Below are 11781 nucleotides of genomic sequence, written 5' to 3'. Positions count from 1 at the left end.
AGAGCTGCGGTTCGCAGGCCTGCTAAGCAGCCGGCGGCCGGAAGTCTATCCCGCAGAAGCGCAGCCATTCACGGCCTCACGCAATGCGACACTTCCGCCTGCACGAGTTCTTCCGGGGCGGAGGTCACCATGGCAGCTGCCTTGGCTCGGCTTGGTCTGCGGCCTGTCAAACAGGTTCGGGTTCAGTTCTGTCCCTTCGAGAAAAACGTGGAATCGACGAGGTACGAAGGGGAAGTGGGTAGAAGCGGGAAGTGGTGCGCCTTCCTTCAGCCGGGGCTTTAAGCCCTCAGCTTGGCGCTCCTCTGTTTTTCCACCGTAGGACCTTCCTGCAGACGGTGAGCAGTGAGAAGGTCCGCTCCACTAATCTCAACTGCTCAGTGATTGCGGACGTGAGGCATGACGGCTCCGAGCCCTGCGTGGACGTGCTGTTCGGTGGGCTTGGTGGAGACGGGCAGGAGGGAACAGCGAGCAGCCCGCGCGCCCCTAAGCCCCAGCACTGCGGTCCCTCCCTGTCTCACTCGTTTGTTTCTTCCCCAGGAGACGGGCATCGCCTGATTATGCGCGGCGCTCATCTCACCGCTCTGGAAATGCTCACCGCCTTCGCCTCCCACATCCGGGCCAGGGACGCGGCGGGCAGCGGGGACAAGCCGGGCGCTGATACTGGTCGCTGACAGCGCCAAAGAGACCAACAAGATGATTTTAGCGTGGACTAGGACACTTAACCTAAGAAGAGTTTCACTTAATCATTCAAATCACTATCTGAAGGGTCACGGAGCGCAAAATAAAGTTTAAAACCCTGCTACCACAATGTTTCTGGAACAAGACTAGATCAGAGAGGTGTCTGGATGAACCTGAATTTATTTCACTTTCTTACTATCACTCACTGCTTAACCCTTTTGAATTTGGCTTCTGGCTTCTCCTACCACTCACTCAAGGTACCTCTTTTTTTTTTTTTTTTTTTTTTTTTTTTTTTTTGACTGGTCTGTTTCTGTCGCTCAGGCTGGAGTGCAGTGGCATGATTCTAGCTCACTGTAACCTGGGCTTAGCCGAACCTCCCAAGTAGCTGGGAAGTTGGGACTACAGGCACGCCCCACGCGCCACCACGTTTAGTTAATTTTTAAATTTTTTTGTAGAGAAGGGTTTTCACTATGTTTCCCAGGCTGGTCTTGAAGTTCTGGGCTCAAGTGATCCTCCCACCTTGGCTTCCCAAAGTGTTGGGCGTGAGCTACTGTGCCCAGCCCTCTTACTTTTACCAAATCTTGTGTGAAAGAACACTGATAGGCTGAGCGTGGTGGCTCACATCTGTAATCGCAGCACTTTAGGAGGCCGAGTCAGGCAGATCACCTGCTTGGAGAAACCCCACCTCTACTAGAAAATACAAAAAAATTAGCTGGGTGTGGTGGCACAAGCCTGTAATCCCAGCTACTCGGGAGGCCGAGCGAGGCAAGAGAATCGCTGGAATCCAGGAGGTGAAGGTTGAAGTAGGCTGAGGTCACACCACTGCACTCCAGCCTGAGCAAGAGTGAGACTCTGTCTCAAAAAAAAAAAAAAAACAAAAACACTAACAGAGTGCTGTTTTTTCAGCTCTCATCGTTGTATCCCAGTTCCATCTTTTTTTTTTTTTTTTTTTTTTTTTTAAATAGAGGTGGGGTTTTGTCCTGTTGCACGGGCTGGTCTCTAACTCTTGGACACAAGTGATCCTCCTGCCTCGGCCTCCCAAAGTGCTGGGTTCACAGGCGTGAGCCACCAACGCCTGGCCGCATCTACAACTCTTGTTTTTGAGATAGAGTCTCACTCTGTCACCCAGACTGGAGTGCAGTGGCGTGACCTTGGCTCACTGCAGCCTCCGCCTCCCGGGTTCCAGTGATTCTCCTGCTTCAGCCTCCTGGGTGGCTGGGATTACAGGCATGTGCCACCACGCCTGGCTGATTTTTGTATTTTCAGTAGAGATGGGGCTTTGCCATGTCAGCCAGGCTGTCCTCAAACTCCTGATCCGCCCCCTCGGCTTCCCAAAGTGCTGGGATTACAGGCATGAGCCACTGTGCCCGGCCTGCAACTCTTAATTCACCCATTTGTGGAACTTCTCTCCCTCTTGGGTCCTTTTTCTTTTGAACCACACAGGTGTTCTACCTTCATTCTTTTTCTTCTCTATTTTTTTCTGGGGCATCTCATCCTCTTTCACAACTTGAATTACACCTTCTGGGGTTAAACTATTTCTGTTTGGTTCTAATCCCAACTTCTATGCTATAATCAGGTTACCTGCTACCAATTTCCTCCAAATCCCACCAACTCTCTTTGTATAAAATAGAATTGATAATCTTACATACACATATACTTGCCTCTCTTCCCTGACTTACCCATTCCTTTTTAAAAACAGGCACTTCATCTACTCAGCCACCTGGGCTGGAAACCAGTGTTCTCTAGTTCTGTTCCTTTCCATTCTCTGCATATCTGGTCACTCAGTTCAGAATATTCTGTCTTTTAAAAAAGTGCCTGAAAGTTGGGCAAGGTGGCTCATACTTGTAGTCCCACCTACTCAGAAGGCTGAGACAGGAGGATCCTTTTGAGCCTAAGAGTTCAAGGCTAGAGTGAGCTGTGGTTGCACCACTACACTCTAGCCTGGTGACAGAGCAAGACACTGTCTCAAAAACAAAACAAAACTTCTGAAGTGATCTCTCCATTCCCATTCACTCTATTCATCATTATTGCATTCTGCTACCCAGTCTATTTCCTAAATATTTTTGCTGCCACTTAATTTTATCCTTCCAAAACATGCGATGGGTTTTATCTCTCACTACTCCCTGTTTAAGAAAACAGTGCCGGCCGGGCATGGTGCCTCATGCCTGTAATCCCAGCACTTTGGGATTTGGCCGAGGTGGGTGGATCATGAGGTCAGGAGTTCGAGACCAGCCCAACCAACATGGTGAAACCTCATCTCTTAAAAATACAAAAATTAGCCGGGCGTGGTGGCAGTTGCCTGTAATCCCAGCTACTCAGGAGGCTGAGGCAGGAGAACTGCTTGAACCCAAGAGGTGGAGGTTACAGTGAGCCGATACTGCACCACTGCACTCCAGCCTGGGTGACAGAGCAAGACTCCGTCTCAAAAAAAGAAAAAACATTGCCTAAACTGTTTTTCATACTTCCTCAACACTCATTAGTGTGGACCATGCAATCAATTTAGGGAGTTAAACCATTCTTTTTTTTTTTTTTTAGATAGGGTTTCGCTCTTGTTGCCCAGGCTGGAGTGCAATGGCACAATCTCAGCTCATTGCAACCTCCGCATCCCGGGTTCAAGCAATTCTCCTGCCTCAACCTCACAAGTAGCTGGGATAACAGGCATGCACCACCATGCCTAATTTTGTACTTTTAGTAGAGGGGGTTTCTCCATGTTGGTCAGGCTGGTCTCGAACTCCTGGCCTCAGGTGATCTACCCACCTCGGCCTCCCAAAGTGCTGGTATTACAGGCATGAGCCACCGCACCCAGCCTAAACCATTCTTAAAAAAATAATAATAATAAAATAAAATAAAAAAAGTAGGCCGGGTGGAGTGGCTCATGCCTGTAATCCCAGCACTTTGGGAGGCTTTGGCGGGCAGATCACTTGAGGTTGGGAGTTAGAGACCAGCCAGGCCAATATGATGAAACGCTGTCTCTACTAAAAATAAAAAAATAAAAAATAGCTGGGTGTGGTGGCAGGCACCTGTAATCTCAGCTACTCAGAAGGCTGAGACAGGAGAATCACTTGAACCCAGGAGGTGGAGGCTGCGCTGAGTGGAGATCATGCCACTGCACTCCAGCTCGGTTGATGGAGTGAGACTCTGTCTCAAAAAAAAAAAAAAAGTAGAATAGAATAAAAATTATCAGACTGAGGCTGAGTTTAATGGCTCATGCCTGTAATCCCATCACTTTGAGAGGCCGACGTGGGCGGAATCACCTGAGGTCAGGAGTTCAAGACCAACCTGACCAACATGGTGAAACCCCATCTCTACTAAAAATACAAAAAATTAGCCGGGTGTGGTGGCGGGCACCTGTAATCCCAGCCACTTGGGAGGCTGAGGCAGGAGAATTGCTTGAACCCGGGAAGTGGAGGTTGCAGTAAGCCGATAGCACCATTGCACTCTAACCTGGTTGACAAGAGCAAGGCTCCATCTCAAAAAAAAAAAAAAAAAAAATCAGACTGCATGGCACTTAGAATAGGAAGTTTAAAGAGATTAAGTCATGCTTTGTCACCCAGGCTGGAGTGCAGTGGCACAATCGTAGCTCACTGCACCCTCCATCTCCTGGGCTCAAGCAGTCCTCCCGCCTCAGCCTCCCAAGCAGCTGGAATTACAGGCGTGAGCCACCATGCCTGGCCTAATTTTTTTTTTTTTTTTTTGAGATGGAGTCTTGCTCTGTTGCCCAGGCTGGAGTGCAGTGGAGCACGATTTTAGCTCACTGCAATCTCTGTCTCCTGGGTTCAAGCGATTTCCAGCTAATTTTTGTATTTTCAGTAGAGACAGAGTTTCACCATGTTGGCCAGGCTGGTCAGGAACTCCTGACCTCAAGTAATCCACCCTCCTTGGCCTCCCGAAGTGCTAGGATTACAAGAGTAAGCCACCGTGCCCAGCCCTAATTTTTTTTTTTTTTTTTTTTTGAGACGGAGTCTTGCTCTGTCGCCGATGGTGCCATCTCAGCTCACTGCAACCTCTGCCTCCCGGGTTCAAGTGATTATCCTGCCTCAGCCTCCTAAGTAGCTGGGATTACAGGCGCGTGCCACCATGCCCAGCTAATTTTTGTGTTTTTAGTAGAGGCGGGGTTTCACCATGTTGGCCAGGCTGGTCTTGAACTCCTAACCTCAGGTGATCCACCGCCTCAGCCTTCCAAGGTGCTGGGATTACAGGCGTGAGCCACCACACCCGGCCAACCCTAATTTTTAAATTTTTTGTAGATGGGGGGGTCTCCTCATCTTGTCCAGGCTGGTCTAGAACTCCTGAACTCAAGTGATTCTCCTGCCTTGGCCTCCTAAAGTGCTGTGATTACAGACGTGAGCCACCACACCCAGCTAAAAGTATTCTTTTAGGTAACTTGTTTTAAATAAGTTGTGTGTGTATGTGTATCTGCACATACTGGGTTGCACTATGGAATTATTTCTTATTGTGAGTTGTAGGAAAATGGTTGAAAGCCACTGCTTTAGACACCTTCACAATGCTCAGCTAGGTAACAAAAGATCTGTAGACAGTGGCCTGCTGTGTACTTTGCCAGATACATTTCCCACGACCCTCCTACAGCAGCATTACTATACCTTTTCCCGGTCTAAAAGGGTGCTATCTTCAAAGGACCGTTTTTCCCCTCCCCCTTTAAAAAAGAAAGCTAGGAGGAGGCAGTATAGTGTTGTAATGAGCCAGACTGCTTGGGGTTGAGATCCTAGCTTTGTTTTTATGTAGCTGTATGACTTTAGACAAATTATTTAATCTATCAGTGCTTATTTCATTTGTAAAATGAAAATAATAGTACTTTTCTCATAGGACTGTTAAGGAGATTAAATGAATTAATATCTGTAAAGTACCTAAAACATTGCTGGGAGTGTAGTAACTGCTGTTATCTAAGAGGCCTTATTTATTCTTTTTTTTTTTTTTTTTTTTTTTTGAGACAAGAGTTTCGCTCTTGTTGCCCAGGCTGGAGTGCAATGGCACAATCTTGGCTCACTGCAATCTCTGCCTCCCGGGTTCAAGTGATTCTCCTGCCTCAGTGTCACGAGTAGCTGGGATTACAGGCATGCACCACCATGCCCAGATAATTTTGTATTTTTTAGTAGAGACGGGGTTTCTCCATGTCGGTCAGGCTGGTCTCGAACTCCCAGCCTCAGGTGATCCGCCCGCCTTTGCCTCCCAAAGTGCTGGGACTACAGGCTTGAGCCACTGCGCCTGCCCTAAGAGGCCTTATTCTAAAGTCAAAAGAACAACCTGGATTTGAGTTCCCCAGCTCCATAATTAACTGGCTGTTATTTTGGGTCAGTCTTAACTACTCTCCTCATCTGTAAAAATGGGGGTGGTCTGGCCAGGCGCGGTGGCTCACGCCTGTAATCCCAGCACTTTGGGAGGCCGAGGTGGGTGGATCACCTGAGGTCAGGAGTTCGAGACCAGCCTGGCAAACCTGGTGAAACTCCATCTCTACTAAAAATACAAAAATTAGCTGGGCGTGGTGGTGGGCACCTGTAATCCCAGCTACTCGTGAGGCTGAGGCAGGAGAATCACTTGAACCCTGGAGGCAGAGGTTGCAGTGAGCCGAGATCATGCCATTGCACTCCAGCCTGGTGACAGAGCGAGACTCCGTCTCAAAAAAAAAAAAAAAAAAAAAATGGGTATGGTTCAACATGCATTGAGTGCTGGCATTGTGCTTCTAGACTGTGAACTTGAGGTTGGGGCCATTTTCTCTGAGTCCCCAGCACCTTGCATAATGCGATATAGGGTGTACAATAAACATGTGTTGAATTTATAAATATTTAGCATCTGCCTTATGCCTATAATTGATTAGTACTGTGATACAAAGATGAAAAATGAAACAGGTATGTAATAAGTGCTACAATAAGGATGTCGACAAATGCAACGGTAGCAAGAAAGACAAAAACAGGACTAACCATTGGGTTTGGTCAGATGATTTCATAAGCAAAAAGTCTACCACTAGTGGAGAGTGGGGCCACCAGTCAGATTATAGTGAAATATAAGTGGTCGTGTTGCATAAAGCATCAGTCTCTCTCTCTCTCTCTCTCTCTCCCTCCGTCCCTCCCTCCCTCCCTCCATCTCTCTCTCTCTCTCTCTTTCTTTTTTTTTGAAACAGTTTCACTCTTGTTGCCCAAGCTGGAGTGCAATGGCGCAATATCGGCTCACTGCAACCTCCGCCTCCCAGGTTCAAGCAATTCTCCTGCCTCAGCCTCCCGAATAGCTGGGATTACAGGCACCCACCACCACACCCGGCTAATTTTTGTATTTTTAGTAGAGATGGGGTTTCACCAAGTTGACCAGGCTGGTCTCCAACTCCTCATGTCTGGTGATCCACCTGCCTCGGCCTCCCAAAGTGCTGGGATTACAGATGTGCGCCTCGGTGCCTGGCCACATCAGTCTTTTTTTTTTTTTTTTGAGACGAAGTCTCGCTCTGTCGCCCAGGCTGGAGTGCAGTGGCACAATCTCGGCTCACTGCAACCTCCGCCTCCCGGGTTCAAACGATTCTCATGCCTCAGCCCAACGTTAGATTGGTTTTTCCGAGCCTGTGAACTCCATGGGGTCGCCAGATAAACGCAATCCCGGTGGACCAACGCCCAGGACAGACGCTACGTACCAACCCTGTGTCAAGCCGCAGGCAGCGGTTCCGGACTCTGGGACTTAACCTAACGTGGCGGGGCGGGACTTCCGGCGGGAGGCGGAGGCGGAGGCGCAGGCGCTGGCTGGCAGGTGTCGCTAACCGGACGGTGGTCGCCAGGGCGAGAGGCGGGAGCCGGAGAGGTGAGGCAGGACCCGGGCTCCACTGCCGCCTCTCCGAGCTCTTGTGACGCGGACCTCAGTGCCAGGATGGCTCGGGGCGAGCGGCGGCGCCGCGCAGTGCCGGCAGAGGGAGTGCGGACAGCCGAGAGGGCGGCTCGGGGAGGCCCCGGGCGACGGGACGGCCGGGGCGGCGGGCCGCGTAGCACGGCTGGAGGAGTGGCTCTGGCCGTCGTGGTCCTGTCTTTGGCCCTGGGTATGTCGGGGCGCTGGGTGCTGGCGTGGTACCGTGCGCGGCGGGCGGTCACGCTGCACTCCGCGCCTCCTGTGTTGCCTGCCGACTCCTCCAGCCCCGCCGTGGCCCCGGACCTCTTCTGGGGAACCTACCGCCCTCACGTCTACTTCGGCATGAAGACCCGCAGCCCGAAGCCCCTCCTCACCGGTAACCGGGCCCCAGGGCGGGCAGGCAGGCGGACTCCTAATCTGGGCGCCCCAGCTTGAAGCGAGAGCAAGGGTGGGAAGGAATGGATCAGGAGAGTTATGAAGAGGGATGACCCGGAGACCCGGAGGGACAGGTCCCCTGCTCTTTGACTTACGTGGCCATTCTACCCCCAGGACTGATGTGGGCGCAGCAGGGCACCACCCCGGGGACTCCTAAGCTCAGGCACACGTGTGAGCAGGGGGACGGTGTGGGTCCCTATGGCTGGGAGTTCCACGACGGCCTCTCCTTCGGGCGCCAACACATCCAGGATGGGGCCTTAAGGCTCACCACTGAGTTCGTCAAGAGGCCTGGGGGTCAGCACGGAGGGGACTGGAGCTGGAGAGTGACTGTAGAGCCTCAGGTCAGGGCCTCAGGACACCCTTTTCTCAGCCCAGACCCCCTCCATCCTTCCCTTGCTGCCAGCAAATGCAGCATGAAGTGGGCTCTGGCTGCCTGGCTTAAATCCTGCCTTAAACAACTGCCTGTATAACCATTTCTATTTACCATCTCTAAGCCTTGATTTCCTTGCTTGTAAAATGTACAATGTAGATAATAATAGCACTTAACTCACAGGACTGTAAGAATTAAATGAAAAAGAGGCTGGGCGCGGTGGCTCACGCCTGTAATCCCAGTACTTTGGGAGGCCGAGGCTGGCGGATCACCTGAGGTCAGGAGTTCCAGACCAGCCTGACCAAAATGGAGAAACACCGTCTCTACTGAAAATATAAAATTAGCCGGGCGTGGTGGCGCATGCCTGTGATCCAAGCTACTTGGGAGGCTGAGGCAGGAGAATTGCTTGAACCAGGGAGGTGGAGGTTGCGCTGAGCCGAGATCGTGCCATTGCACTCCAGCCTGGGCAACAAGAGCAAAACTCCATCTCAAGAAAAAAAAAAAAGCCAGGCGCGGTGGCTCACGCCTGTAATCCCAGCACTTTGGGAGGCTGAGGCGGGCGGATCATGAGGTCAGGAGATGGAGACCATCCTGGCTAACACGGTGAAACCCGGTCTCTACTAAAAATACAAAAAATTAGCTGGGCGTGGTGGCGGGCGCCTATTGTCGCAGCTACTCGGGAGGCTGAGGCAGGAGAATGGCGTGAACCTGGGAGGCGGAGCTTGCAGTGAGCTGAGATCGCGCCACTGCACTCCAGCCTGGGCGACAGAGCGAGACTCCGCCTCAAAAAAAAAAAAAAAAAAAAAGAATTAAATGAAATCAACTGTGTAGAGTTCTTAGTGTAGGACATAGTACAAAAGTATACTGTTATCTCCCAGGGCACCCAGTGCAAGGCTCTTTATCTCATCCCGCTTGGGTGTACCTGGTTACCCTCAGTGACCCTCATTACTGCCAGACGTATGTTGTTTACATTACCCCTGCCTACTGTTCCTTTCCCTCACTAAGGCTGATTCTCAAGAGGGAATTCAAGAGAGAATGCCAATCTAACACTGTTCTTTTCTGTCCTCGTTGGTCACTCAGGACTCAGGTACTTCTGCCCTCCCTTTGGTCTCCCTGTTCTTCTATGTGGTGACAGATGGCAAGGAAGTCCTACTACCAGAGGTTGGGGCCAAGGGGCAGTTGAAGTTTATCAGTGGGCACACCAGTGAACTTGGTGACTTCCGCTTTACACTTTTGCCACCAACCAGTCCAGGGGATACAGCCCCCAAGTATGGCAGGTAACTGGGGGAAAAGAATGTTGGGGGATGGAAGGGGTGGTTATTCCCATTTTCACCAGTCTCCATGTCCCCTGCCTGAGACCTCCCAACCTGACTCCTGAACACTTTGTATTTCTCTTTATAATGCCCACTGCCTTCTCTTGAATAATATTTCCTATTTATCTTCTCCCCTTCAAGCTACAATGTCTTCTGGACCTCCAACCCAGGACTGCCCCTGCTGACAGAGATGGTAAAGAGTCGCCTAAATAGCTGGTTTCAGCATCGGCCCCCAGGGGCCCCCCCTGAACGCTACCTCGGCTTGCCAGGATCCCTGAAGTGGGAGGACAGAGGTCCAAGTGGGCAAGGGCAGGGGCAGTTCTTGATACAGCAGGTGACCCTGAAAATTCCCATTTCCATAGAGTTTGTGTTTGAATCAGGCAGTGCCCAGGCAGGAGGAAATCAAGCCCTGCCAAGACTGGCAGGCAGTCTACTGACCCAGGCCCTGGAGAGCCATGCTGAAGGCTTTAGAGAGCGCTTTGAGAAGACCTTCCAGCTGAAGGAGAAGGGCCTGAGCTCTGGCGAGCAGGTTTTGGGTCAGGCTGCCCTCAGCGGCCTCCTTGGTGGAATTGGCTACTTCTACGGACAAGGGCTGGTATTGCCAGACATCGGGGTGGAAGGGTCTGAGCAGAAGGTGGACCCAGCCCTCTTTCCACCCGTACCTCTTTTTACAGCAGTGCCCTCCCGGTCATTCTTCCCACGAGGCTTCCTTTGGGATGAAGGCTTTCACCAGCTGGTGGTTCAGCGGTGGGATCCCTCCCTCACCCGGGAAGCCCTTGGCCACTGGCTGGGGCTGCTAAATGCTGATGGCTGGATTGGGAGGGAGCAGATACTGGGGGATGAGGCCCGAGCCCGGGTGCCTCCAGAATTCCTAGTACAACGAGCAGTCCACGCCAACCCCCCAACCCTACTTTTGCCTGTAGCCCATATGCTAGAGGTTGGTGACCCTGACGACTTGGCTTTCCTCCGAAAGGCCTTGCCCCGCCTGCATGCCTGGTTTTCCTGGCTCCATCAGAGCCAGGCAGGCCCACTGCCACTATCTTACCGCTGGCGGGGACGGGACCCTGCCTTACCAACCTTACTGAACCCCAAGACCCTACCCTCTGGGCTGGATGACTACCCCCGGGCTTCACACCCTTCAGTAACCGAGCGGCACCTGGACCTGCGATGTTGGGTGGCACTGGGTGCCCGTGTGCTGACGCGGCTGGCAGAGCATCTGGGTGAGGCTGAGGTAGCTGCTGAGCTGGGCCCACTGGCTGCCTCACTGGAGGCAGCAGAGAGCCTGGATGAGCTGCACTGGGCCCCAGAGCTAGGAGTCTTTGCAGACTTTGGGAACCACACAAAAGCAGTACAGCTGAAGCCCAGGCCCCCTCAGGGGCTCGTTCGGGTGGTGGGTCGGCCCCAACCTCAACTGCAGTATGTAGATGCTCTTGGCTATGTCAGTCTTTTTCCCTTGCTGCTGCGACTGCTGGACCCCACCTCATCCCGCCTTGGGCCCCTGCTGGACATTCTAGCCGACAGCCGCCATCTCTGGAGCCCCTTTGGTTTACGCTCCCTTGCAGCCTCCAGCTCCTTTTATGGCCAGCGCAATTCAGAGCATGATCCCCCCTACTGGCGGGGTGCTGTGTGGCTCAATGTCAACTACCTGGCTTTGGGAGCACTCCACCACTATGGGCATCTGGAGGGTCCTCACCAGGCTCGGGCTGCCAAACTCCACGGTGAGCTCCGTGCCAACGTGGTAGGCAATGTATGGCGCCAGTACCAGGCTACAGGCTTTCTTTGGGAGCAGTACAGTGACCGCGATGGGCGAGGCATGGGCTGCCGCCCTTTCCACGGCTGGACCAGCCTTGTCTTACTGGCCATGGCTGAAGACTACTGAAGGGAGGGAGAGGAGGGGAGCCAAGACACTCATGCCACTCTGGCTCTGAAGGGACAAAGGCTTCTGGCTTTTGCCCCCAGCCCCTTGGATACCAGTAATTCAAACCTTCCTCATTTCATCTCAGGTGTCTCCTTGCTGTCATCCCACATAGCCCTGGGGTGAATGTGAATCCAGAGTCTATTTTTCTAAATAAATTGGAAAAAACATTTTGAACTCTATTGCTTTTGCCAGATTTGCCTCACCAAGAGGCCTTAGGTCAGTCCAGG

General features: G+C 52.0%; 2 protein-coding genes across 3 annotated transcripts, besides 4 other annotated features; both read left to right on the top strand.

Annotated features, from left to right (window-relative positions):
• Positions 72–171: an enhancer, noted in NCBI's record as "active region_16061". NCBI's record gives its function as "activates an Ori minimal core promoter by ATAC-STARR-seq in GM12878 lymphoblastoid cells {active_cell/tissue: GM12878}" and the evidence as "EXISTENCE:reporter gene assay evidence [ECO:0000049][PMID:35858748]".
• Positions 110–808, top strand: MRPL53 (mitochondrial ribosomal protein L53). Its single transcript, NM_053050.5, has 3 exons — positions 110–221; positions 320–432; positions 538–808. Exons 1-3 carry the CDS (start codon positions 130–132, stop codon positions 669–671), a joined length of 339 nt encoding a protein of 112 aa, NP_444278.1. The 5' UTR covers positions 110–129; the 3' UTR covers positions 672–808.
• Positions 572–701: an enhancer, noted in NCBI's record as "active region_16060". NCBI's record gives its function as "activates an Ori minimal core promoter by ATAC-STARR-seq in GM12878 lymphoblastoid cells {active_cell/tissue: GM12878}" and the evidence as "EXISTENCE:reporter gene assay evidence [ECO:0000049][PMID:35858748]".
• Positions 5134–5428: a silencer, noted in NCBI's record as "tiled region #2309; HepG2 Repressive DNase matched - State 5:Enh". NCBI's record gives its function as "represses a minimal TATA promoter and a strong SV40 promoter by Sharpr-MPRA in HepG2 cells {active_cell/tissue: HepG2}" and the evidence as "EXISTENCE:reporter gene assay evidence [ECO:0000049][PMID:27701403]".
• Positions 7408–11733, top strand: MOGS (mannosyl-oligosaccharide glucosidase). 2 transcript variants are annotated; one of them, NM_001146158.2, is made up of 5 exons: positions 7408–7476; positions 7803–7894; positions 8068–8294; positions 9404–9600; positions 9778–11733. In NM_001146158.2, the coding sequence occupies exons 2-5, from the start codon at positions 7861–7863 to the stop codon at positions 11513–11515; spliced, it is 2196 nt and encodes a 731-aa protein (NP_001139630.1). In that variant the 5' UTR covers positions 7408–7476; positions 7803–7860; the 3' UTR covers positions 11516–11733. The 2 variants fall into 2 exon arrangements, with proteins under 2 accessions (NP_001139630.1, NP_006293.2); NM_006302.3 differs by having other exon boundaries at positions 7408–7894.
• Positions 7622–7841: a silencer, noted in NCBI's record as "silent region_11664". NCBI's record gives its function as "represses an Ori minimal core promoter by ATAC-STARR-seq in GM12878 lymphoblastoid cells {active_cell/tissue: GM12878}" and the evidence as "EXISTENCE:reporter gene assay evidence [ECO:0000049][PMID:35858748]".

The sequence above is a fragment of the Homo sapiens genome, chromosome 2 (genome assembly GCF_000001405.40).
Source record: "Homo sapiens chromosome 2, GRCh38.p14 Primary Assembly".
NCBI lineage: Eukaryota > Metazoa > Chordata > Mammalia > Primates > Hominidae > Homo > Homo sapiens.
The sequence above is the reverse complement of the archived record's forward strand: the minus strand, read 5'-3'. Positions and strand labels throughout refer to the sequence as shown.